The 26540-nt window shown below is 37.8% G+C and overlaps 1 protein-coding gene and 1 non-coding gene across 19 annotated transcripts in view, besides 1 other annotated feature; both read left to right on the top strand.

The window, feature by feature from the left end:
- Positions 1-26225, top strand: part of ZBTB20 (zinc finger and BTB domain containing 20) — an 832789-nt gene extending 806564 nt beyond the window's left edge. For all 18 annotated transcript variants that reach the window (NR_121662.3, NM_015642.7, NM_001348801.3 and 15 more), the window contains one exon: positions 1299-26225. Coding sequence is in view for 17 of the 18 variants with exons in the window: in NM_015642.7 (NP_056457.3) it covers positions 1299-1720 (422 nt within the window). In the remaining variant the exon portion in view is untranslated. The remainder of the gene's footprint in view (positions 1-1298) is intronic.
- MIR568 (microRNA 568) lies at positions 24156-24250 on the top strand. Its single transcript, NR_030293.1, has one exon. It is a non-coding gene; the product is annotated as a microRNA 568 (primary transcript).
- Positions 24713-24762: an enhancer, noted in NCBI's record as "active region_20275". NCBI's record gives its function as "activates an Ori minimal core promoter by ATAC-STARR-seq in GM12878 lymphoblastoid cells {active_cell/tissue: GM12878}" and the evidence as "EXISTENCE:reporter gene assay evidence [ECO:0000049][PMID:35858748]".

The following is a 26540-nucleotide window of genomic DNA, read 5'->3' as shown; positions in this document are numbered from 1 at the left end:
GAGGGCCTACACTGGGCAGTCAGGAATGAGGTGGTAGAGATGGACCAAACACGCAGTTCATCTCACCTGTCAGGAGCAGAGCTGAGAACAAACAGCACAAAGAAAACAAGTCTTTAAGTAATCATCTTAAAGAGATGTCACGGACCCATGGACTTTAAGAATACCTCATGCACTGAGTATTATTATTTACCTTACTGTTTGTAACAAACTTGATCATTTGGTTTCTAAGCCAAACCAAAGCAGTAAACTGAGGAAAAACAAGGGTTTCCGCCAACAGGCTGAGAGCAAAGGAGGACGCAGGAAAACTATTTTAAAAATTGACCCAAGAGTTCAAAAGGCATATGGAAGCATTTAATGGGGGTGGGAGGTATCCTTGTAATAAGAATACCATGCATGTATTCCCACACTGCTCTTGGTGGTCTGCAAAGTGATTTCATATGTATTTTATGTCAACACCAGCACAATGAGGTAAGTAGGACTGTATACCTCAGAGGCATTTGGTGATTTGTCAGAGTGGAGTGTAGTGTGTTGGTGCCCAGATTTGAATAGGATCATTTGAGTCTGATATCATCATGTTGCCCACCGCCTACTCAGCCTCTACACCCGATGAGGCCAATCTGCAGCTCACTACAGTCAATAGAGAACAGGCAATTAACCCTTAAGTTATATTTTAGAAAGATTTCTGTCTAAAATAGATAAACTTGAAAGTATAGCTCTTCAAAATAACGTATTCCTGTGTTGGCAAATATTTTCCAAACTCACAATCAACACATAGGTGTATTTCTTAGACTACTAGAAGTGGGGACTTACCCCAAGGAACCAAGCTATAGTGACCAATATCCTTAGTTCTCAAGGATTCTAGAGCACCCCATGTCTCCAACGATCTTTCTTCTCTCTTATTTCTTCTATTTGTTTGATAATGTTAATGGGAAACACTAAATCCCCTAATCAGGACACTGAAAGTGACCCCCTTCAAAAGTAGCCCTCCCTTTTCCACGGAGTGACCTTGAAGACTTTTAGTGGGGAATATCTGGTAGCTTTCCAAGAAAGCCGTTTTATGGCACAGGGAAATGGAAAACAAAACTGTCCTGGCATCACCATAAAGCAAAATTTCTCTGCACATGAGAGGCTAGGAGGGCCTGGATTTTTCCAAACGAGGATGATCCATTAAGCAATCAAATTTTATTTTTTAATTGTTTTATTTTTCTTTTTTGTTGTCTTGTTTTTCCTGTCCTTCATTCTCTATCCCTTGCTATGTCTCGCTCTGTCCTGCTTGCTGTCTCTTCCTACATCAACAGGTGAGAAGCCCCACCAATGCAGCATCTGTTGGCGCTCCTTCTCCTTAAAGGATTACCTTATCAAGCACATGGTGACACACACAGGAGTGAGGGCATACCAGTGTAGTATCTGCAACAAGCGCTTCACCCAGAAGAGCTCCCTCAACGTGCACATGCGCCTCCACCGGGGAGAGAAGTCCTACGAGTGCTACATCTGCAAAAAGAAGTTCTCTCACAAGACCCTCCTGGAGCGACACGTGGCCCTGCACAGTGCCAGCAATGGGACCCCCCCTGCAGGCACACCCCCAGGTGCCCGCGCTGGCCCCCCAGGCGTGGTGGCCTGCACGGAGGGGACCACTTACGTCTGCTCCGTCTGCCCAGCAAAGTTTGACCAAATCGAGCAGTTCAACGACCACATGAGGATGCATGTGTCTGACGGATAAGTAGTATCTTTCTCTCTTTCTTATGAACAAAACAAAACAACAACAAAAAACAAACAAACAAAAAAGCTATGGCACTAGAATTTAAGAAATGTTTTGGTTTCATTTTTACTTTCTGTTTTTGTTTTTGTTTCGTTTCATTTTGTACTACATGAAGAACTGTTTTTTGCCTGCTGGTACATTACATTTCCGGAGGCTTGGGTGAATAATAGTTTTCCCAGTCTCCCTCGGATGGTGGCCTTAAGGCCTGGTAGTGCTTCAAGAGGTCCACTGGTTGGATCTCTAGCTACTGGCCTCTAAATACAACCCTTCTTTACAAAAAAATCTTTTAAAAAAAAGTAAAAAAAAAAAAAAAATTTCCACTTGTGAAGAGCACTACAAAAAATATATAACAAAATCTAAAAGGCCTACTGTCTTTAAGTACACCGCTTGCAGTGTTTCAGTGGACATTTTCACAATTCTGGCCGCTTGGACTTCACAGTAACCAGTTAAAACTGTGGAATATCACTTCTGGTTGAAAACCCAGAGGAAAGGCCCTGCTGTTTTCCACCTACCACGTTGTCTGATTTCATAAAAGGGCTGTGGGGGTGGGAAGGGCAGTGGGTTCGGTGGTGTGGGAAAGAAAGACGAATGGCAGGCTTCTTCCCCAGATTCTGCCCGGGTCCACACACCCTGGCCCACCTTCTCCATATCCCCCTCTTGCAGCAGAAGCCAGGAAGACTTGGACAAGCAACAAGCAACAGTGGCTATCGTATTTATTCAGTGTCTTCGCTGAGCCACAGCCTCAGCACAATCAAGAGGGACTTTCATGAAAGGCAGGAATGCAGATAAAACAAAGATATCAGAAATTTGCACCTATGTTTCTAGGTACAAGAGAAGGATTATTTCCAACAATCTTTGCAAAAAAAAAAAAAGTGTCAGGATATATTCTTGTGGAAGAGAAAAAGAAAAAGAAATGGAGGGTGGGGGGAACAATAAAAAGTTCTTGAGGCTTTTTTAATTCAAAATTTTATAGAGGGGCAAAAGTGACGTTTACCAGATAGAATGCTGATTTTTTTAATATATTTACAACAGTATTTGTGTAAAAAAAAAAACAAAAAAAGTGAAATTGTTAAAAGTAATTTTTTTCATTTTGGTTTTGCATACACTGCCACCAATTCCTTCTCTTTTATTTTATTTCACACACATATATATATTTTTTGGTAAGTCAAGACTGTTAAGGTTAGCGATACTGCTTCCAGATAGAAAGAATAAAAGGCAACTAAAGTTATATTTGAAAGAGAGGAAGGATATTTTCTTCATATTTTTTTTAATTTTTCTTAATTTTTATTATTTTAAGTATTGCCTGGGTTGATGAGGGCCTCTGTGGCCAGCCCATCCCTGCTGTAATTTGAATTGCTGCTTTGTATTTTGATATGTAGTTCTTTGACTTTAGCAAGCTTAAGTTGCCCCACTGAATAATTTTTTCAACTGATTCATCTAGAATTCTGTTCTTTTTCATGGAAGAGACTTTATCTTTCAGAAAGAGATTGCTTGCTTCTCCAAAATTTCATTGAGATCTTACAATTCTAGAATTTCTATTGACTTTACTTTTTTTCTTAGTGAAACACTAATAGTCTAGAAGTCTTGATAAATGGGGTCTTTTCTTTTGTGATCAGCCAGGAAGAGGAGTTCACAAAACTCTGCCATAGCTCCTCACCCTTCCCAACTACAAAGAGCATCATTATGAGAAGCCTGTTATAGATCAAGATGCATTGATGCCAAAATTACTTTTTTCCTTCCAAATATCACCTTCTGACTGTTTCCACCATGGTTAAGAGGGCTGAATAAGATGATCATTCTTTAGATGACGAATTAACCCTTGCTTCTTCGAAAGGTTTTAGGGAAATTAACAAAAAAATTCCCAGATGCCAACAGCCACCATTCAAAAGACCACCAATCTATTGCATCATACCAGATGCCACTCTCTCTTCCTAGTAGGGATTTCTCTCCTCGGTCCTGATCAAGGTGTTATAATAGAGACATTTTCATTATAGACAGTGTCCTGAAGGGATTCCAGCTCAAATATAGGAATTCTTAAACCTAGCTGAAACTCCCAAAGTGATTTCATTGCTGGGCATATTTTAACATACTTAGGGGAAAGCAAATCTTTAAACAAAGCAAAACACCAAACTACAGTTTTAAAAAGAAGAAAGGAGAGCGTATTTTAGTTTCAAAATTACATTACATTTTAATTTAATTTTCCTTCTAATTTTCCTGTCAGCATTTTATTTACAAAAACTGTGCAGCAAACGAGGGAAAATCTTCCAACACAAACAACTCTGTAATGACTAAATTGGTTTTATTCATATATTTTAGACATTTGGTTAACTTGGATCTTTTTCATAAGTTCTTTGTGATGCTTTGTAAGGTTAGTGTAACTGAAGTGTTTGTGAGTTTGATTTGGTCCCACAGTGCTTAATTCAGTGGATATTTTGCTAGAAGTTTTAATGTAAACTTGGGTGGTTAACTGACTATTAAGTGTAACCTATTGTGATTTCTAAGAGGAGTCCTGCCAAGAACTGTATGTCCAAAACTGATCTGTTTTAACAGTTAGTGAGGAACAGCTTCCGAGATAAAGTAAGTTCATTTTTCTATTGCTAATTTTGCTTTTTAAAATAGCAGTGTTGTAAGACTAATATTTCCACTTACCACCAATAGAGGGAGCATTAATTAACTATGTCATGGAATTGTTTTGATATTTTGGAAAACAAGTGATTCCACCCATAAAATGAAAAGAGAAGATTGACCTTAAGAAAAAAACTCTTAAAGCTAGGAGACAATGACATGAAATCACTCAATACATGTTACAAATGAAAGAAGGCCAAAAGCCACTTTAAAATATTTTAAACTGTTTCACAGTAGATTTGAAAGTGTCTTTGTTCAAATTTAGCAAAGTAGGAAGAATTTTCACTAATACCGCCTGAAAAGTTGATCTTAGGTGCCATTATGGGCCACGTGTAGCTTTCTGTTTCTCAAATCTGAGAGAGACCCATTTGCCTTAATGCTGATTTGCCATGTAAAATGCTAAGCAATTGGGTTAGAATCCACCTTTTCTTTTGGTAGAACATGTAGAGAAAAAGCTGCAGGTGACTTGAAACCCTGAGGAGTCTATCATCCTTTCCCTGTAAAGGAAGTGTCTCTTAAAAAAAAGGGAGTGGGGGAGGAGGTGGAGGATCCCTAAAGAATTCTTAATGAGGTGATATAATCATTGTAGTCCATGACAAAATGGACCAGCCAGGTTTGCATAGCAGTAGACATATTCCTACTGTACATTTATCCTTCCCAAATATGTCACATTCTAAAATAGTTGACAAATTATTTTGTGGAAAGAGGAAGAAGCTGGATTGGAGTGGGAGATCTAATCTGGAGGAGCAAAGAGGTAGTTGTTTATTGCTATGTTCCTGGCCCATCAAATGGCCACTTTCCAAACTGACCCACATTTTAGGAAATAAACCAATCTGGACCTGTTTCAAAAGGATAGAGATGCTTTTAGATTGTCAATTCTCACTTTTAAGTTAAACAATCACAAATATCTTTAGAAATAGGGAAAGACATTTGCTTCAAAATCAAAGAATGAGTGTGGATCTTTTTAATTTTTTTTTGTTTCAAGTCCTACAGTCATCTTACATTTAGACCTTCATGGTAGGGTGATATGAGTGCTAAAAAAATTTCTTTCTAGTAGCCAGGAAACAGATAGATAAGATAAAAGCAAATGTTCCAGATTTAAGACTTCTTAGGATGAGTACAAGGAAGAGAGAAATAGTATGGAAAGGACATTTTTTAGCAATTTATAATTTTAAAATGGAATTTGCCAAACAAGGGAGAGGAAAAAAAGTCAAAGGGGAATTTTTATCTCAAGATATTTAGATATGGTTTATAAAAAAATAATATTTTCTACCACTAAAAACACTGGTATTATCTCAGCATCATGGGCAATTTTTCCTTATTACATGCCAATATTTGTACAAAAAAGGCCCCCAAATGTGTGAAATATAATCCTAAAAAAGAAAATAATTGGAACACATGGATCTGTTACAATTCTACACAGGGGGAAACAAGCTAAGCAAAGAAAAAAAATCTGAAATGAAAATCTCTGTATCAAAATGGTTTCCTGTATCTTTTAATTGAGAGGTAAACTTTAGCTCCTAATAACAGTTTTATAGACCGTTCTCTTCCCAAATTCCTAATGCTTTGAATCTATTTGTGCCATGATTAAGTGTGCTGGATAATTTCCTGCTCATATTCTAGCCTCAGTTCATTCCTAGTCATCTTAGAGATCATAGTAGCTCTTGGCCTTAGAAAGACTTGGGTTTGCTGTGTTTAAAAGTCATAAGGGTTTTATTTTGTATCATCAAAATATTCTATAAGGTCCCAAATACTCTTTTTCAACCCATGAACAGTAAGAATTTGTGAATTCTGATAATGAAAAAAGTTTTCCTCCAGGTATGTTTGTTTCACATTCAGTCCTAAAGCCTTGAGCTATGTGTACTTCCCTCACACAGGAACACCAGCTGTCCTGTCTGTGCTCTGCCTGCGCCCAAAACTCAATATTTTCTCTCAGCACAGAAGTCAAAAATGAGATATGCCCCTTATAAAACCCCTTCGATTCCTGAGAAAACATAATAAAGCCATATGTTGCTTCCTTGTTGGGGCTCCTCCACAATGCTCCCAACACCTGTGACCCCTAGGAAGACAGGGAGCAAGGTGGATCTGGCCAGGAGTCACAGGATATACACCCATTCTGGAGCTTTCCTCTGTTGTTCTAGAAGATGTTATTTGATTAGTTGGGGCTGGGAGCAGGGGATATATGATTTTGTGGAAAAGGTATCAGATAATCAAATCAGGTCTGCCTCTGCTATAGCCAGTGTGCTGCTGCATTAAAAGGGAACAAAAGGAAGGTGCAACGTAAGAGCAGACACAACCTGAGATGCCCTTGAGATTTAGGAGAACAGGAGGGCGCCCTTTCTGTTGTGACCTGACTCTTAAAAGAAATCTTCTAAAAGAATTCTTTAATTTGGTAATGAGTTGAAGTCCAGGGTAATGGAAGCTCTAGGGCAGAGAACAAAAGAATTGCAAAATGTATTCAGCACCAAACAATGCTAAACCAAGAAACATCCAATCACAAAACTAGGAAGTTTGGCAAGAAGTGGTTAGAGAAATCTCTGGGCTTTTCCATGGGCAGGGTCGACAGACTCTCTTTTCAGTGATTTCTGGCTCTGAGAAACCTCTTTACTCACTAGAAAAGAACTTTATTTAAATGGCCAATTTTGTTCCTCAGAAAAAGAAATTAAAAAAAAAGAAAAATAGGATACTGAAGACAGAACCATGTGACTTGGTGACAAACAAAAGGAGGGGTGCACTAGAATTTCAATAGGCTCCCTAATTCCATAGAAAAAGCAAAGCAACCCAATGCCTCCTGAGCCTGCAGTGCATGAAGAGAGTGCTTGAGCTGACCCAGCCACCAGGCCTTCTGGGGCTAGACATAACTTCCCACTGGAACAGCAGCAGCCTCTTTCCCCTCTTTGTGTTTTCATGAAGAAAACGGCTGTTCTCTTAGGTAGCCAGGAAATAGATTACATGGGGCAAACTTTCAAAAGCAATCTCTACCCTGGTGCTCAGGCTACATACAGAGGCAGAAAAGGGGCACGGAAGAGCCCTTGCTCTTGAGAGAGAGTATTTTCATATTCCCAAGGGCTTTCCGTGTAGAGTTGCTATTTCTGATATCACTTAAACCTTTACAAGAAAAAAGGCTGTGGTGACTCAGTGTTCCTATAAATTCAGAATGTGGAAACTACTAATCCAAAGCATCATTTCTAGCACTGAGTATCAAGACGATCAGCCTGACCAAAATATTGCAAAGAGTTTTCTAAGTCTCTGAAGATTTTTTTCTCCTTGAACACTGAGTCTATAGCAGTCAGCAATGTACCTTAGCCGATCCCTGGGAATGGTTATGGAACAGTAGGGCTTGTTTCCATCCTTTTTAGAGTGAAGAGATAGAAAATTAGGGCTACCTAGTGTGGGTTCTTTTTCAGAACTATGTATTTTCTCCTCACTGCATGATGGGTAAAAATGCCCTGGGTTGAAACAAGAAACATTATCTTTCCACACCACTGACTAAAACACCTGCCAGTGGTTTCTTTAGGCTCCACCTTTTGCTCCGTAAACTGTAGACTTTCAGACTGAAATCTAATCTTAAGTGACCTCAATTAAGGTATTTTCACAAAAGGCTACTTATAGTGTAGCATTATTGCCTTAAATCAGAAAGCCCTGGGAAGAGGATAAAAGATATAGAAATGAGAAGGCTCTGAAGTTATAGGCATTTCTTGCTGTTTAATAGTTACATTATCACAAAAACAAGCCCTATTCATGATTGAGGACTATGGAAATAGTGACTTCTTGAGGAGGCACCAAACTTTCCTAGAACTGGGTACTCTCAGATAGTGGCTGCTATTTCCTATTCTATTTCAGTGACGTAGGTTGGGGCTGAATGTAAAATAGACATCATATTACTAAATAGAATCCTATAAAATGCAATCACAGGTGCCCGGGAGTACTAGTTTTAAACATTTCCTTAACAAGGAGAACAATCCAGCAAAAAGCTTTCTTTCTCTATACAGTGTATATCTCTAAACTTTTTTTCCTCAGTTTTAGAGAACATCTGTTTTATCTGGTGGTTCTTTGTTTGAATGCAAACTCATAACTTTCAAGTCTCCGGTGCAAGAGCATAATCTACAGATCATGGGCAAAATCTAGCCACAGTCCTGAGAGTCCAGGCTTCTGGGATGCCCAGCTGGGTATAAAAGTCCCTACTAACCCTGTTTCAAATTCAGAGGTTTCTTTGGTTTAGAATGCCTCAATGAGATTTTGATACATCCAAGAGAGAAAAAAAAAAAAAAAAAAAAAAAAACCTTGGGGGCATCTGTTTCTACTAGTGTTGCAACAGTTGTTTTTACCCAGCAAACTCATTGCAATTTATATGTAGATTCTAATAATGAAAGAGTCTTAACCCATCCAGTATGTCACCGCTGCTGTCCAAAATGTCTATAAATGAGTATACATTATTTATACATGTGCACACACAGTGTGAGCTTCCCTCAGCACAAAACTGTTTCACATTCATATTGCCCAGTGACAACAAGATACATTTTTGAACTTCTGGTTAGAAGTCGAAGGTCTGACATATCTCACGTATCTGCTTATGCTTTGTTGCCTTAGTTGGGTGCATCAGTATCTGTGATGAGACTTTAGGGCATTCTGAAGGAGCCCAACCATCAGTAATTTCTATGTATCCGTTTCATGAGAAACTTGAATATGCTTATGTGGAGTAGAGTGCATTTAACAAACTCTACAGTTCTATTGGATTTATTGACATGTGTGCACATGTGTGTGTTTGTGTATATACTTATTGTCATCTGGAAGTGTGTGTGCCCCCCAAAGGAAGCACACACAGGCAGAGGTCCTCGTGCATAGATACAGTTGCCTCTTCCCACCATTGTGTTTAAGACTTGTGGCTCCCTTCCCAGGAAGCAGTCACCTGCCCACTCTGTTGCTTTTTGTAATGTTTCAGAATTGGGAGAAACAAATGCAGCTTGTTGAATCCACAGCAAACCCACAGGGACAGGCTGTTTTCCTCCATAATAAGGTATAACAGAAGTCTTCAACTGGTGAGCAGACAAGAGGGAGCAGCAGTCCAGGGCGTCTCCCCAGGTCTCCTGGAGGTGGCAGGGGTGGGGACCAATGCCAGGCAGGCAAAGCCCACACAAACTTTGGCCTGAGCCATCCCATAGCTCAAAGGTCTTCATTCCTTTCCTCTATGCAATGCAGTGTGCACACACACACACACACACACACACACACACATAAATTTTATTCTCAAACTAAAGCTTCCTAATTCTGCCTGTACTCACAAGATATCATCGTAATTCACAAACTGTGTCTCCTGAAACCAATGTGGCCTTTGCCAAAGTCTTTCCAGGAGTGGGTTGTTTACCATGTCTAGCAAACCAATAGACTGTTGGGGGGAATGTTTTTTGGTAATCTGTAGGAATTGATTGCTCTTGCCCATCTCAAGCATTGAAGTAGAATGCCACTCTAGTATAATATACTGAATGAATGGACTCTGAGGGTTTGGTGGCCTGGAATTCAGGATTCAGTTTTCTCACTCCCATGCCCTTCTTTTACTAGATGGTTTGTTATTTTTTATGATTTGTACATTATTTCTGTTTTACAGAAGTCAGAGGACATTTTCTTTCCTCTTCTATTCTGGTGACTTTTCCCCTTCCCCTGTTAAGTAAGGCTACTTACAGTTGCAACTTTTTTGTCGTTATTACTTTTTAAAATGTATATTGTCTTTCTATATCCAAAAGAAGTCTGTAACTGTAACCATAGGTATTTCTTTTTACTGGAAAAACAATTAGTTGTTTCGGTTTTATTTTTTCCTTTAATTAACAGTACTAGTGACTTTGTGAAAGAATATGAGTTACTATTTAGGTATGCTTACTTAACTACAATACACTACATTGCAGTATTTCTGAAACCTAGGACATACACATTATATATAACAACTCTATATTGAAATATATATTACATTATATTCATTTTAACTTTTGAATCTGCCTATGATCATGAGTTGATTGAAATATTATGTCTTTGCTTATATCACCCATCACCAACCTGCTGCAGTTAATCTGGTGCATCTAGTAATAATCATTAGTGCTCTAATTTGCTTTTTATATTATCAGCTTCAGTATTGTCTTTAGAGGATTTTAGAATTTTTTAAAGCTCAGACTTAGCAAATGTAGGAAAGTGAAAACTTTTTTTGAAACTTTTTTGTTGGTGTGACTAATACAAAGAGGTTCATATTCAAAGTGATCTTGTTTAGCTGACCCACTCAATATCTGAAGAACAAAAGAGGTGCATATGAATGTATCTGTGATTTTCCCCTGTAGGACTGTCACTGTCTATATTTGCTTTTAAAAATATGACCAAGGGGCTACTTAAGTGCCACATGATCTGACCAACAATAACAGGCTGCGTTTCAAAGGGCCAGTCTTCTGAAAAGCGTAAGACAGTGAATTACCTAGTTGTCCCCACTGTATTCTCAAACATTCATTTTAATACTGGATCTTTACACTTTCTTTTTTCAATACGCTTAGAATTATTTTAACTAGTCTTCAACCTTTCCCTGGAGGCAGCTTGGCAATATAGTGTTCATTTTCCTGGGAGTTGTTTTTTTTTTTTTTTTTTTTTTTTTTTTCCAAAAAAAGTAAAACCAGAGTTTCAGGAACTCTTTATCCACAGAGGCTAATAGAAATAGAATTTGGAAATATCTATCTGAGACATTTTTAAATCTGAGGAATCCGTAAAATGGTGGCTCTTGGGTATCCAGCCCTCAGGATCTCCATTTACCTGTTAAAGTGAGGATTTGGTGCCTTTCTTCTTTAGTTGGGCCATCAAGAAAACTTCAGAAATCAGGCATTCTGTCTTCCTATACAATAAATATTTTCAGATCATATTTTCAGATAAGAGTCTTCAGCTTCCCTCAGCTATTCAACCCAATGCATGGAAAGCCTCAGTTGAATAAACTTTTCCACCATCCCAGGTGCCTGAAACTAGTGTCCTTCTTCACTTCTACATTCAGGACAAAATGAAGTCAGGTTTTTAAAACCTCAGTATAAAAGACCCCCTCACACTGGTCCAATATGAAGACTTCTCAGCGTGAACACTGGGGAATTCCTTCCTTTCATCTTTCCTAATAGATTGTTGTTTTCTAATCCCATCCCATTCTGCTGTACCTCTCCAGCAAGTCCCTTTTCACCTTAGCCAAGCTCCCTGCAATGCTCTTCAGTTGTGAAGCCTTGTATTCACTAAGGAACTACGTACTCTTAGTCTGCTTTGAAAGGGCTAATGTCTAGTGTAATGGCAAAATTACCAATCTGTTCTCCAAAGTGTTCCAGCAGATATATTTCTACTAGACAAACATAATTGTGAATTGACTGTTAGTGAGGCTGTTTCTTCTCTAATGATCACATAATATCCAAATTATATCAACTTCATTATTTCCCTCTTTCCTTTTCCTAACCCTTTCCCTTTATTTCTTGTTTCTCTTGAAGACTACTTCAAATTACCTATTTGTCTTCATTACTGCCCCCAAAACTCTAATAATTGTGACCCCTAACTGTTCATTTCTCTTCCTTTCTCCACCCCATTCTGAACATCCTTCTTTAAGTTTTATTTAATGAAAGAACACTAAAGTGAGTGAGTTCATAAACTTGAGACTCGTAGGCAGAGTGAAGCATGTCTTCATTTTAGCTTCAGAGTTTAAAAGTTATCAATATTCTTTTGAGAGTGGGAGGACCTGAGTCACAGTTTTAAATGTCAACTGTACTAGCTGAGGTCATTAATTCCCCTTACCTTCACGTTTGGCCAAAAATGAAGAGAAAAATATTTTCTGTTTTTTTTTTAAATACCACAGTGTTCAGGTTCTTCATATGAGTAAATCACTTTTGACGGAGAAAAAAAGAATCATTAATGTTGACTGTTTCCACTAGTCAAATTACTTGTTTATCAGACTTTAGATTATAGGAATCTAAAGAAAAGAGTAACATTTCAAAATAATTTTGATAACTGTTCAAGCCTTAGTGAGCTCTTCTCAAACAAGAAAAGCCACATCCACTTGAACACATTGTAGGAAAAATTAGGAAGAGTTTTTTTATTTATTGCCTTTTTGAAAAAAAAATCATTGATTTGTTTAGAACTTTGAGCAGTAACTTACTAATGGATGAAAAGATCCATAAAGTTTTGAAAGTGTCTGTTTTTGCAACCAGAGATTGCCTAAACATAAACTTAATATATACTTAAATAAAATAATAACAGAGCTAAATGGATACCTAAAGAGCCATGCAGTGCACTCCCCAGCACCTAAATACGCCCCATATAATTTGGTTGTCATGCTAGATCTCCCTGCAGTGGATTACAACTGTCTGGTCACCAGAGCATTGCCCAAAAGACTGACTGATACCATTCTGGGTGTATCCTTTTCAGGATGCTTATAATATCACATTCACAACAACTTCGTAACACAGTCTTTCCTGACTTCTGGTCCAATATTCTTGCCATGATACCACATCGCCTCTCAGCTTTAATGAAGACAAGTCCTGTGACATTTAGAGTACTATGTGGTTTTGAGTGCATAGGCGGTATGCTTTCAGTTCTTGCTTTACCCTTTGACAAAAAGAATCAACATTTAATATCAGAAATGTATTTTTATTTGACTTGAGATTTGACCCAGCTTTTATCTTAATCAAACCAGTTTATAACATCAACTCACACCATAGAGAACAATGAAATAAATAGCAGTTTTGAAAGCCTTTATGAGGCATGCATCTAGTAGGAAAACAACATCTCTTAAAGGCAATATTTACATTGCTTAGGACTATGATCTTCACTTGGAATGTTCTCCCAATCAATCCTATATCCTTCTTTTTCTTTGTCCATTCTAACTCCTGGTATTTTTTTTTTCTTAAAGTACTCTTTATCTAAAGTAATCCTCTCCTTAGGCACTGGCTTCCAAAGGAAGAAAGACTCTTTTAAATCCTAAAATGCTGTCATTTAAAGTATAATATGGAGGAGGAGAGGCTCTGGTTCTGATAGATCTTACTTGGTCCTCAATCTGGGATGCCTTCTTGATGCTGTTCTTTCTAGTTCCCCAAGAAGTATTCCAACCCCAAGACCCAGAATTTCTCACCACAACCTCTGTGTTAGTCTCAGATTAATGTCTAAATCCTGTTTGATATTCTAGAGACTCCAGGGTGTGAATTTATTATTGCTTATGAGCCTCCTGTCTTTCCAAGCTGACACCTGTCAGGAGCATCAATAGCCCTAACAGTAACTAATGCATCAAAATAATAGACAGAAACACTATAGTATATATTCGTGAGGATAGGAAGATTTTTTTTTCTTCTTTTCTCCAGGAAAAGCTTGCTTTGCTCCCCTCTCCCTCTGCAACACACACACATACAATGCATTTCAGAAAGTCTGCATCTTATTTTACAGATATGTAGCTCTAGAATTTACAAATATAGCTTAGGAAATGTTCTGAGATTGAGGCTGGTAGCAAACAAGTTTATTTTCTGCACTGGACTTCAGGATAAGTGTGCATAGATGCAATTCCTTCAAAGAAAGTGAAACATGGTAGAGCAAAGGGATAATACTTTCACACATTCAAACAGTTGTTTGCTATCTATAAACCTTGATTTAAGCATAATTATTACTTTTTAGAAATCTGAAACTGGAGGAATGTGTATTTTAGTAAGGTTTTTTTGTTGATTTATTTGTTTCCCTTTCTTTCTTCTCAAGATAGTAAAGGATTTTTATTTCTTAATTTGTTACTGTCCATGGACAGTCAAATAACTGCTCACCCTTACTGTATTATTTTCCCCTTAGAAAGAAAAGCCTTCCATCCTACCATGAAGGAATTTTTCCTCCAAAAAATCTTATCTTCCATTTCAAATAGCACTCATGAGCTTTTAAGAGAGAAATTCTCTCTTTACTTTGAGGATAGAACAGTTAAAACAAAAACCTGTTCCTTGAGAAAGAAACCGTATTTACCTAAACTAACAGGTCTGGGGCCAAAGAATAGATTTTTTTATTGATTGCAGATGAAGACCATGCATTTTGTACTACAAATCCTTATTGCCTCCTCAAATCCTTTTTGGAATAAGGCTGGGAATAAATTAGTTTAATTAAATTCTTTGGGTATTTCTAATTAATATCTACTGCAAGATACCCAGGAAAGAAAAGGAAGGGGTGCTGCCGAAATGCCAAAATCAATTGATCTGTTGATTTTTATCATTGTAGTTGTTGCTTTTCTAGCCATTTCAAGACTGTATGTGTTCATGAAGTCTTAAGTAGAGAAACACCTGTTTCCCCATTGCTTCTCTCTCCTTCCCCACACCCCTGCACCTGCCCCAACCCCAGGCACTAGAGGGAACAGTAACAGAGGGAGATTGGCACTGCATTGCCAGTACTTCACCCATCTATACCCCTCCACCACAAAAGAAGGAAAAAACAAATTAGAAACTATTTTTTTAAAAAAGGAAATTGTAGTACTTCATTTGAAAGCATACTGTTTTCAACTCAACTCGATTAACAGATAGCCTGACAACGTTTTTGTAACCTTTCTTTTGTGCTATAATTGACATTCTTGGCTCAATCTTTAAAATAATTGCAATTTCAATTAAGTGAACAGAGAAAAACAAAGAGAGGGAACAGGACAATGTGATGGGACCAAATTTGATACAGGTCTGGATTCCTAAAGCCAGTTGTCAAGGTTACCGGAGAAAGTTAGCACTACTCACCCCTTGTTGTTCTTGCCTATCTCTCATTATTACAATTCAAAGAATTAGTAAGTTAACTATACTTCTTTGTGATTAAAGATTTCTCTTCATGCTGCCAAACACTTCTAGAGAAATTGTAGAAACTCCTGACTTCTATACCTAATGTGCTATCCGGGCCCGAGAGGAGTGTACAGAGAGATCACTGAAAATAAAATAATAGTTCAAATTTGAGATAAGATTTTCCTGTAGTTCAAAGTGCTTTATGCATGTTCACAACTAGGGGAATCTTTGAAAACAAAGGCTAGTTACTCTGCTCTTGCTCTCCTTGGGACAAACTTTAATTTGGAACCAGCTGTAGATTTACAGGAGAAAATTCTCAAAGGTATTTTCAGCTGCTAAACTTCTTCTTTAGGCCCGTTGATTTGAACCTCAGTTTTCCTGAGGAGCCTATTGAGATATAAATTAAGGGTAATTTGCATATATCTAATTAAAATTGTTCCTACACTATTGTTGAAAGAATTATGGTTTTCAGAGTAGATGAAAGCAGGGTGTCTTAGTAATCTTCATCATGGCAAACAAAGGTGAGAAGCTGATATGATAGAGAAAATCTATGGTAACTTGATATTTTAAGGTAATTTGAGTGTGCTGACCCCACTATGCTTAATTCCTTTCCCACAATCTATTTTAAACTACACTTTGATTCTCTTGAGACTTACAGCATGCATGTGTGGGTATGAGCAGACAAGCAGACTTACCTTTGGAGGGTGAAGACCCAGACAAACTGAAGAAACGGATTCCTGAGGATGATCAAATACAAATCATTTTTCCAGAATCACTCAATATTGCCACATCCCAAACTAATTCTAGACTAATCTTTAGAAAGAAGTAAGCTCCTTAAGAAATCCTACTATGAATGTTTTTTCTTCTTATGGAATAACACAAGAAGAGGTACAATGCAGACTCTTAATTTTGCTGTAATAATTCACTTTTGTATTTAATAATTGTACTTCTGTGTGAGTGTGTCACTGAGCTATTTGTACCAATTTTCAATTGATCATTCTGAGAGGGGCCTTGAGAATTTCTGTGTATGTGTATGTATATCTGTATTTATGTGTAGTCAGAAAAAAAAAAGAATAGGAGACTAATGAGGTGAGGGAAAAAGTGATCAATGTAGAAAAGTGAGTGCTCCTAGTGTACCTATTTATGTTATGTTAGGTGGCTGCTGCCTGTAGCCCTTGAGGAATAGCTGATTGCACTATTCAAAAATAAAAGCCCAGCACTGTTAAATTTAGGACCGTGTTTCAAGAAACAGGAAAGCTTTATCTTTTTCTGAACCCATTCCCCTTAGCATTAGAGCCATCTGACATGATGAAAACTATTAAGTAAAAACCACTACTGACCTTTACATTAAATAGCTGTTTTCCTCTTCTAAATAATACCCTTGATTTTAACTAGACTACTTCCTTTTATTTTCTGCCTATTGGCTTAATGTTTTACAGAAAATACATAGGTGCATGCTAGTTTCTCTACTTTGAGCTGAAACAAACAGGAGCAACAAAAGAGATGACTCACATAAGTGTGAGATAGACTGAATTTCCCACCTTCGTAGCACTGGTAACCTTTGTAAGAGCTGTTTAGAGTTGAGCTTTGGGTTATAATAGGGCTTTTTTTTGCACTAAATATGACTGCACTGCATTGCACTACTGAAATGTACTTACTTGTGCTGGGAGAGAGTGTGTTACGTATGGGAAAGAAAAAGGCAAATTATGGAAGTAGGAGCATCACTAAAATGCAGAGTTATTTTCATCATGCTTGATCTTAGCAGGGTTGGCGAGAATCTGTGGAATCTCTGTCAACTCTTGATCAGGCCTAGGAACCACCATGCTGATAGGATCTGTTTTCTTACTGTAAAGAAGCTGAGTTAGTACAGCAATTAAGAACATTTAAGAAAAAGTTTACCCAATCTTGTTTCTGACTGAGCTCTCAGTAAGAGTTTTAACAGTGAAGAAGCCAATTGATATGATGTAGAAGTCTTTGCCTTGGCCTCCTCCACAAAGCCCCTTGCTTGTGCACATTTTAGTGTGGCAGAGGGCAGTAGGATGTGCTCCTTTCAAAAACACATAGCCTTGTCCATATTGGAATTACTTTTCAGCCTGATTATGCTTCTCCATCCCTGGGTGAAACCTAGATCAGGCTAACCAAAGAGGAAGGCTATGCATGTGGTAAAGTCCTTTAAGATGACAGATAGGGAACAGTGCAATAAACACTGAAAACCAGTGAAGTGAAAGGTTTATTTTGAAACAAGCTAGGCCAACTTGGACATTGGAGGATGGATTAGAACATACTAGCTGCTCCATCATAGACTATCCTTACTAAGCAGAAGACCTTAATAGTGCCTAAAAGTTTAGTTTTGAAATTGGTTTTTTCCTAACTTTTCTTTGTTAAATTTATTTTTATTATCTTTTTTAATCTTAGAAGTAATCAGAGTTTGACAGCTCTTTAGTAACTGTTAATAAAAGAATCTTTCATCACAGGATAAGCAATAGATTGTGTGGGAAATAATAACACAAGAGTAAAGATGCTGAAGGACTCTTCTGGAACTCAAAGTGACAGTTTTGAAGGTTCTGGCACAGTAGGAAAGGATCACAACCCATATAAATGGCTAATGTTGAATTTCTCTGAACACTGTCACATATGGGGCATCAATTTGGAAAATTCTCAATTGAGGCCCCTTCCCTAAGATTACAACATTGATAACCTGTCTTTTTCTCTCTCTTCTTTACTATCCGTCCAAGTCTACTATTCCAAGTTTAAATATTGTTCAGAAAGTTGTCAGCCTTGTTAGTCAGAAAAACTCCATTTAGAGCCATCCAAACTAGCATAAGAAATTCCTTAAGCACTCAAAGCATTATCTCTGTTTTAAGTAAGAAACTAAATCCAGAGCTTTTAACAGGTACTTAGAAATAAGTATTGGGTAATCACTAAGAGGACATTGACTGCACCAAACCAAAGCTATAGAAAGAAATGATTGACTTTTTAAAATATATTCACATTAACTGTCCTAGGATACTTCTCTTGAGGCTTTGGAAAACTTCTTCCTTGAAATTTGCATATCCACTCCAGTTCTGTCACCAAAGATTTTAATCTTCAGATCGCAATTTCCTCTCTCCCAGAAAAAAGTACTACAACAGGCTCAAGGGATATGCTTTGGTGGTCAAGGGATTACACTATGGTTTTCCTTCTGTTCACAATGGTATTTACAGGAGACCTTGTCATCAGAGGACGTACTGAACTATCTTTATGACTTTGGATTTGATCAGAGGTTTAAAAAATAGAAAAAAATAAACAACACTACTTGACACTGTAAATGATCTTTAATAGAGTCATGACCTGGAGACTGATGGAGAGAAAGAAACTTCCATGGAAGAGAGTGAGCTAAATCATTTAGAACCAAACAAAGGTCACTGGTGAAACATAGGGCAGCATGTACACAGTGCAGATCAGGGTTCTGTATGGCCAGAGCCAACAGCAGTGACCGGTGGGAGAGTCAGACAACTGGCCAATGAATTCAAGTGTTGAAAAAGCCACAGTCTGGATTTTGTTGTGATTTCTGGAGTGGTTGAAACGCCCATGCCCATGGCAAGGAAAATGCTTGGAGGCTGATCTGTTGTGATAGTGCCTTTCTTGTCGTAGTGAGTACTAGATTAATAATTTATTCAGTTACGCTTTTCTGTACCATTGCCTCCAGTCTTCTGAGGAGGTTTGAAGGGACAGTATCCACTTAGGATGAAGGGACAGGATATTGCTCTGGAATGCTGTGATTTGATGATATTTGCACTAGATTCTAAACTCTCCTTTAAACTGGAGCAACTGACTGAGAGAAAAACCAAGGACAGCTCAAAGTTAAAAGAAACCAAAAGCAGTATTTTCTGACAGATACCATTTCTTTTTCTCCTTCTTTTTTTCCTGGAAGAAAACTTCACACTAGTTGGCTACCGAGCTCAACTCTTACCAGTTCTTTCTCTTTATTTTTTGTTTCCATATGGAACCATCTGTGTGAATTAGTCATCAGTTAGGTATAGTTAACGTAAAGAGCCCCTGCCATTGAAACTTTGCACACCTTCTCTGCTTTATTGAAGGCAAGGGCCAGTGGGCAGTGATAGCAGGGGAGGGACCCTCCAGAACCACCCAGCCCTCCAGGAGGCCAATAAGCATGGATATCATGTCAGGAGCTGAGCTGACATATATTTACTCAGAGGACATTGGGGTCTGTAGCTAATCCTAAAGAATGCTCCGCAACAGAAGGAAACCAATGCATTGTAGAAAACAAAGGGAGATGGTGCCCGAAGTCTGCCTGTTTCTCTTCTCTTTTCTTTCCCATCTCACCACCATGTCCTCTCTAACAGAATTATATTTCATCTCATATATTATATGTTACTAGAAAAGTCATTTGGTTCCTTGGTTTCTCTCTTTATCAGTGGGCTGGAAATTCCTCCAAATTAAATATAAATACCAGTAGCAGCTCCCCTGTGTCCAGCCAGTTTCTCAAATGCTGTCCACCTGGTCTTACTGTCCACCTAACATAACTTGGAGGCTTTGGCTGGCTCAACCACCTGTTCACTTTATTTTGTTTTCATTTCCATTTGAACTTGAAGTGAGGCTATGGAAAGGTGGAAATCATGGGCAAGGTTTGGAGGCTGCAATTCTAGGGCATAGCTTGTCAGGAGTTTATATTATCTAAAATATATCTTTCTATACCCCTTTTCATTTTAATCTGTTGCCCTGATTATAATTTCTTTATATTTGTGGTTATTTTTATAAGAATAGAGTCCATTTGCTATGTCTATTTGAGTACTTTTTTTCTATTGTCCCCACATGGATGCAGTACCAACCTGTTAATGAAATATCTTTTTATTATATTATTAATATGTAATTCTACTGTAGACCAAAAATATAAAAACAAATTTGTTCATTTTAAAGATATAAAGAACTAGGGAGTAAAAGATTAAAAGTTGAAGGAAAAGACAGAAGAGCAGTGGTTAACTATGTTGAGTTAGAAATCTAAGAGTAGCCTTACCTGTTTTTTAACCAGTGCTTGCCAATCATACCATAGTTGGAATTATGTAATCTTGGCTCCTTCATACTTATGTTCTATAATTCTTGTTTGTCTATTTGTTTTCTTTGATATAATTGAGGTTGCACATCATGCTATTCTTGGCAATGCCTGATTCTATTGTATTGTACTTTTGTTAGTCATTTCCTTTAGAAAGATGGGGGGAAACGTTTATTTCTTCTTTTAATTTAAAATTTGTTTAATGCACTGGAAATAAAATTGGACATATTTCACTGTTTAAAAAATCAGAAACAAAACAAAGCAAAACCATGAGGGAAAAAAACAGCAAATAAGCAACAGGGGAAAACAGCTATGAAAAAAATATATTTGTACTGAATACACATACAAACTACATCCCACATGAAAGATTAATATCATCAAGTAAGAAAAATACATAGTTTAAACTACAATGCTGAAAATATAAAAGGAACCTGGTAGTTCAATGGGGATGGAGAAAACAGAGCATTCCTCTGAGAGCAGAGATCTTGTCATTATTGCAATTAATGCCCAAACAGGTTAAATGTGGAAGAAAGTATGGAGGAAATAACCCCAGCCTTCCTCATACCACTGGATTTCCACATCACCTTTTAACTTATGCTTGAGCTCCCTTTTGAGAAAAAATATTTAAAAACAAATTGGCTATGTAACAAATTTGTGTGTGTGTGTGTATATATATATGTATATGCTTATATATATATATATATGTATATGCTTGAGAAAGTGGTTTTTCAAGATGTATGTGTACAGTACACACATGGACACGCTTCAGTCCTCTGACTTCCCATGTGCTACCTCATGTGTTTCTCTTCTCATGAGGATTTGCAATGGATAGTTGTACAACCTGGGGACTGTCAGTGACTCATTGGTATCAGCATATGCTAAAGAAGCTCTTGAATCCAATCTTGAAACCTGATCTCCCTTCGTCAACATTCCCCAATACCAAACTGGCCCGTTTACCCATACAAATGCACAGTAAAGGGAAGAACAGCGGTATTTTTCCTAGCCAACTGACTCTATCATTTGTTTAATGTTTGCTGGTTTTTTTCTGGTTTTGTTTTGTTTTAGAGCAGGGGTGGGAGTGGCTGTAACTTCACAATCCTAATACAGTAAATGTTTTGCATCTTCCATGTTTTATGCAAAAACAGACATTTAAATCAATAAATAATTGTGCCCTAGACTGAAGGTTAATGTTTAGGAGAGGAAAAAAATTGTTGGAATTTTTTCTACATTTTTTTGTGAAGAATCTTTTTTGGAAAGGAAGGATACATATTTTTGTTGTGTAATATTTTCTATTTTTGAATGCATTTTATTGGTACAAGACTGTTTTTTTGGTGAAGACATTATTTAAAAAAAAAAAAAGAAAAAAACTAATCGAAAAGTTTGCCCTTAAGGATATGCTGCAGTTTTGAGGTTAAAAAAAAATTACTGATTCAAGATGCGTGTTAAAAGTTGGGATTATATTGTTGTTTTTTGTAATTGTTACAAGAAGAAGTTTGTACCCACTGCTGTTTATTTTGTTTCAGATGAGTAAGTAAAGGGATTGTTCTTGTTTTATTCTTTTTTTAGAGAAAAAAAGCTATTTATGAAATGTCAAAAACACTGGACTGTGAGTTTAAGTGTGGAAGCATTTTACCACCCTGTGTCTTCAACCAATTATGGGAAACCCCTTTTCTCTTCCCCCTACCCCCTGCCTTAGCCTTGCCAAATGAGAAAAATATAACAGCTGTCAGATTATCAAAGCCACCGAAGCCCTGCTTTAATTTTTATGGTTTGAAAAAGTTGGAAAACCAAAGTTAAATTTGTTTCTGAAATCCTGCTGTGCGTTGCCCTTTTTTGTATGACACAGCCGGGCTCTGCCTCTCTATCTCAAATCATTGCCTTCTTAGGGACTGGGGGCCAACCTGATGCAAAGAGAGGCATAAAGGTGGTGAGCCTGAGAGTTGAGGTCTCACGAAGTAAAATGTGAGTGGGACTTCACCCTCTCAGTGGGCAACCACACTTTCCCATCCTGAGATGAGGCTGCCAAGAGAGCACACTGCTAACACTGCCTGAGGAGAGCACGCCTCCTGTCTCCTTCACCCTCTGCTTCTGAGACCCTCCTGTTACTGTTATCATCGTTCCCTAGCCTGGCTCTGCCTTTCTCAGCAGCCCACATTCCATGGATGGGAGCAGGGGGGCAGGGACCCAAAGGAGGGAAATGGCTGTGGGTGGTGTGAAGGCCCCCCAGCCCTCAGGAAGGTGGGGCAAGAGACCACTGAGCACAAGGGATCTTGCCCACCTCCTCTTTGACTCTGTGGATTATCCATCCATCTGCTCACTGTGAAGATGGAGAGGCAGTGCCCTAAGGCTGTTCAATAGCTTTTCCATATTTTTTCAACATTGAAAAAATAATTTTTAAAAACTGTGATTTTTTTAAAAAATCATTTGGCTGGAGGGAAGGGAAAAGGGAAACACCAAAAGCTGTACCATGATGAACTGGAGATATTTAACTGGGGCACTTTCCAGACCAAGACAAACAAATTCCTTTCTGGACTCTAAAGCAGCCGAATCTTGAGACTGTCAATGACAGAAAGCTGAAGAGAGGCCTCTATTTCTTCCTTTTTCCTTTCTTCTGTCTAAAAACTCTCTCTTGTTCCCCTTTTCCAGCTTCCCTTGGACTACTGCCCCAATGGCCCCTTGGACTCGCGTTTCATGTATGCGAGCACACACACACACAAACTTGCAAAATACCGTTTTTCTTAAGGATTGTGGGACCGAATAATATCACGTGCCTTCATCTTTTCCTTTTATAGTTAGATGAACCTCTTCCTCTTTACAATTTTTTTAAAAAGTGATAGGGGAGGTTGATGTGTTAGTGGAAGATTTGGGCATCGTTTGAGAAGTAACTTTTGTTTAACACATTCCCCCTAAACATTGAACACAAACATTTCAACCCCTTCATGACACTCTTTGGACATTTAAAGCATTGAGTAACCATGTACATGACAGCCTAAATCCGTTTGATTTCAGAGCATTTCCTGAACATTGTATTTCATAGACTTCTCTGATTTTTTCAAAAATGAGGTGAGCAATGGCAAGCAGCCTTGTTCTCCCAATTTGGTGCTTTTGCTTTTGGTGTGGGGTGGGCATGGGGGGTTGGGGGTGGTGTGGGTGTGTTTAGAAAAAAGATGCATTCCTGAAGATCTCTGGTGCTGAAGGGCCTCGAGTTCCTTTCAGAGACTGTATTTGACACACTTTAGGTACACACAAACGAATGGTATCACATGCAATATTTTAATGGAGCAATGGGAGAGGCTCTTTGAAATGGGGTTTGCATCTTTTTGTAACATTTTGATTTCTCTGGTGCCTTATTCCTACTTGATGCTGGCACTCACATACCCACAAGAAGCTGACACAGAAGTCAGCCTTAGGCGTGGGGACATATGGGTGATGTTTGAGCATGCAGGGGCCATGGGGAGTTTGGTGTCAGTTGGTGGAGAAGGGACTAGATGGCATCTCTTAGCCGAGGCCAACAGGAACTGCACAAGTCCATTATAGTCAAAGTTAGCAATTTTGATACGTAAACACAATACTTCATTCTTCCTCATCTGAGCTTTCCTTCCTTCTTCCTTTTCTATCTCTACCTTCTCATAAAGGTGCTGCTGCTGCTGCTAAGGTGCCCGGAGTCCAGAATGTCCATTAATCACTCAGGCACGAGCCTGGCACTGCCACGTCAGCCCCCAGCATGACCAAACCCAGGTTTCTCTTGCTTGGGGCTGAGAACTGTCAGATTTTTCTCATCAAAAATGTTTTCCAAGGAATCAGTGGATTACAGTTTTTCTGCATTGAAAATGCACTTTAAAAAATAAATTAAAGCTCCAGACTGTTTAAAATATACAGAGGGAGCAGGGGAAAGTTAAGCATGTGCTAGTGTCTGAACCCAGTTCAGTTTATCTCCAGTTGAAACGATATACACTATATTATGTATAAATGTATACACACTTCCTATATGTATCCACATATATATAGTGTATATATTATACATGTATAGGTGTGTATATGTGCATATATACACACATGCACATAACAAAATCAGATGCTCATTACAAATCCAGATGCTCATTACAAAACCAGATGCTACACAAACAGCAGCAGAGGAAACAAGGTTGGACTCTTGCAACAGATCACAAAAAATAAAAACAGCTACTTGCAGTGACTTTGGTCATTTCTGTATGTTCATAAAGAATGGATTGTAACAAGGAAAAAAAGGAACAGTGTTAGTGAAAAAGGAAAAATGGGCGAAACCATCTTGATCCGATGCGAATGCAGTAATGTTCTATATACCATTTCATCAGTTATTTCTTTTAGTCATGTTGATTTGATTTCAGTTTCTGGCTATGAAAAACATTTTTAAACTCGTCACCCACAACAAACTGAACAAAACTACTACAGTGAAAGCCCTTTTCAGTGAAAGATGTCAGAAACCTCAAAACCTTTGGCCTGACTCAGAACTACCATGTGAAAATCAGTACTCTCTTAATGTTTGAAATAAAAACTGAAAAAAAAAACAAAAAAACAAAAAACCTTTTTTGAAGCACCTTAACGTGGCCATCCATTTGAGAAGTGGGTGCCACTTTTTTCTTTGAGCACCTTATTGATGTGTTTGCTATCTGCTGTCTTTCTGTTACCTGTTGGCTGAATGGCTAGCTGTTAACATATACATGTGCACAGAAGAGATATCTGGGCATGTATGTTCTCAATGAAGTTTACTGTGGTGACTGCTGAAAGGTGAACCCATTTCCTGATTTTCCCGCCGCAGTGTTGTGATAAGATTCGAAGAAACCTTTTTCCCTGCACAGAAATGTTTCTTATCACATTGTATCTTAGTATGGAAAGGAATATGGTCCCTTTTTTGCAATTGCTACTGTGTACACACACACACACACACACACACACACACACACACACTGTATGTTTAGACCTAAAATACACACACCCACGCACACACTGTATGTTTATGTGACCTAAAACATACACACATGCACACACACATACATATCCATTCATTCATTCATTCAAGTGGTGTTTCCAGTGTCTGTGTGTCACTGTTTATGCAGTTTCCATTTCCCAGTGAATTATGAGTGGAGGGCAACTTTTCTAACCAGATTGTCTTTTCAGAACAAAGACCTGGGAATTGAGGAAGAGTTTGGAAAGAGGGAGAGGCAAGGAAAGAGAGCTTTAAATTGAAAGGTTAATTTCCTAAGAGGAACCTGGGCTGAATGACTGCAGTGTTATACCCTCCAATCTTTGCAGGTGGGCATGGAACACTGCTTGTATCACTCTGTGCACGGTATAAATCCATATATCCACAAAAACACACATCCATCCATCAACATATACATGGTTTGGGATGAGCAGGTCAATAGTTTTGAGAGGGAGTTTGTTCCTTTTTTTTTCTCATTATACTCTTAAATTGTTGTCAGTTATCAAACAAACAAACAGAAAAATTGTTTGGAAAAACCTTGCATACGCCTTTTCTATCAAGTGCTTTAAAATATAGACTAAATACACACATCCTGCCAGTTTTTTCTTACAGTGACAGTATCCTTACCTGCCATTTAATATTAGCCTCGTATTTTTCTCACGTATATTTACCTGTGACTTGTATTTGTTATTTAAACAGGAAAAAAAACATTCAAAAAAAGAAAAATTAACTGTAGCGCTTCATTATACTATTATATTATTATTATTATTGTGACATTTTGGAATACTGTGAAGTTTTATCTCTTGCATATACTTTATACGGAAGTATTACGCCTTAAAAATACGAAAATAAATTTTACAAGGTTTCTGTTTTGTGTGGAAGAGTAATTGATGTTGCTAAGAATGATGTTTGTTTTTTTGGGGTTTTTGTTGTTTTTTTTTTAAATGTTACCAGCACTTTTTTTGTAAGTTTCACTTTCCGAGGTATTGTACAAGTTCACACTGTTTGTGAAGTTTGAATATGAAGGAATAATTAAAAAAAAAAAAACTCTTCTCTTGGTTTCCTATTGTGTCTTCTTTATACTGTAGTTTCTGTTTTAGGCAGTTCTCCACATTCTTTCACACATTGTATTCTATGTCTAATCTGAGATTATTTATCCAAACTGAGGACTCTACCTACAAGGCCAGAAAAACTCTGAGTATATTAGTCTTCTCAATACAAGAAGTAGGAACTACAGACAGGATTGGTGATGTCGAAGTCACTTTGAGGAAATATAAAGCAAATTGGTGTATTGTCTTATACATATTCAAACCTCAAAAATGACAAGGATCACTTATTGCTCTACAAATTGATTCACATTTTTTCCTT

This window comes from Homo sapiens, chromosome 3 (assembly GCF_000001405.40).
Source record: "Homo sapiens chromosome 3, GRCh38.p14 Primary Assembly".
Lineage (NCBI taxonomy): Eukaryota > Metazoa > Chordata > Mammalia > Primates > Hominidae > Homo > Homo sapiens.
This window is presented reverse-complemented; position numbering and strand designations above follow the sequence as displayed.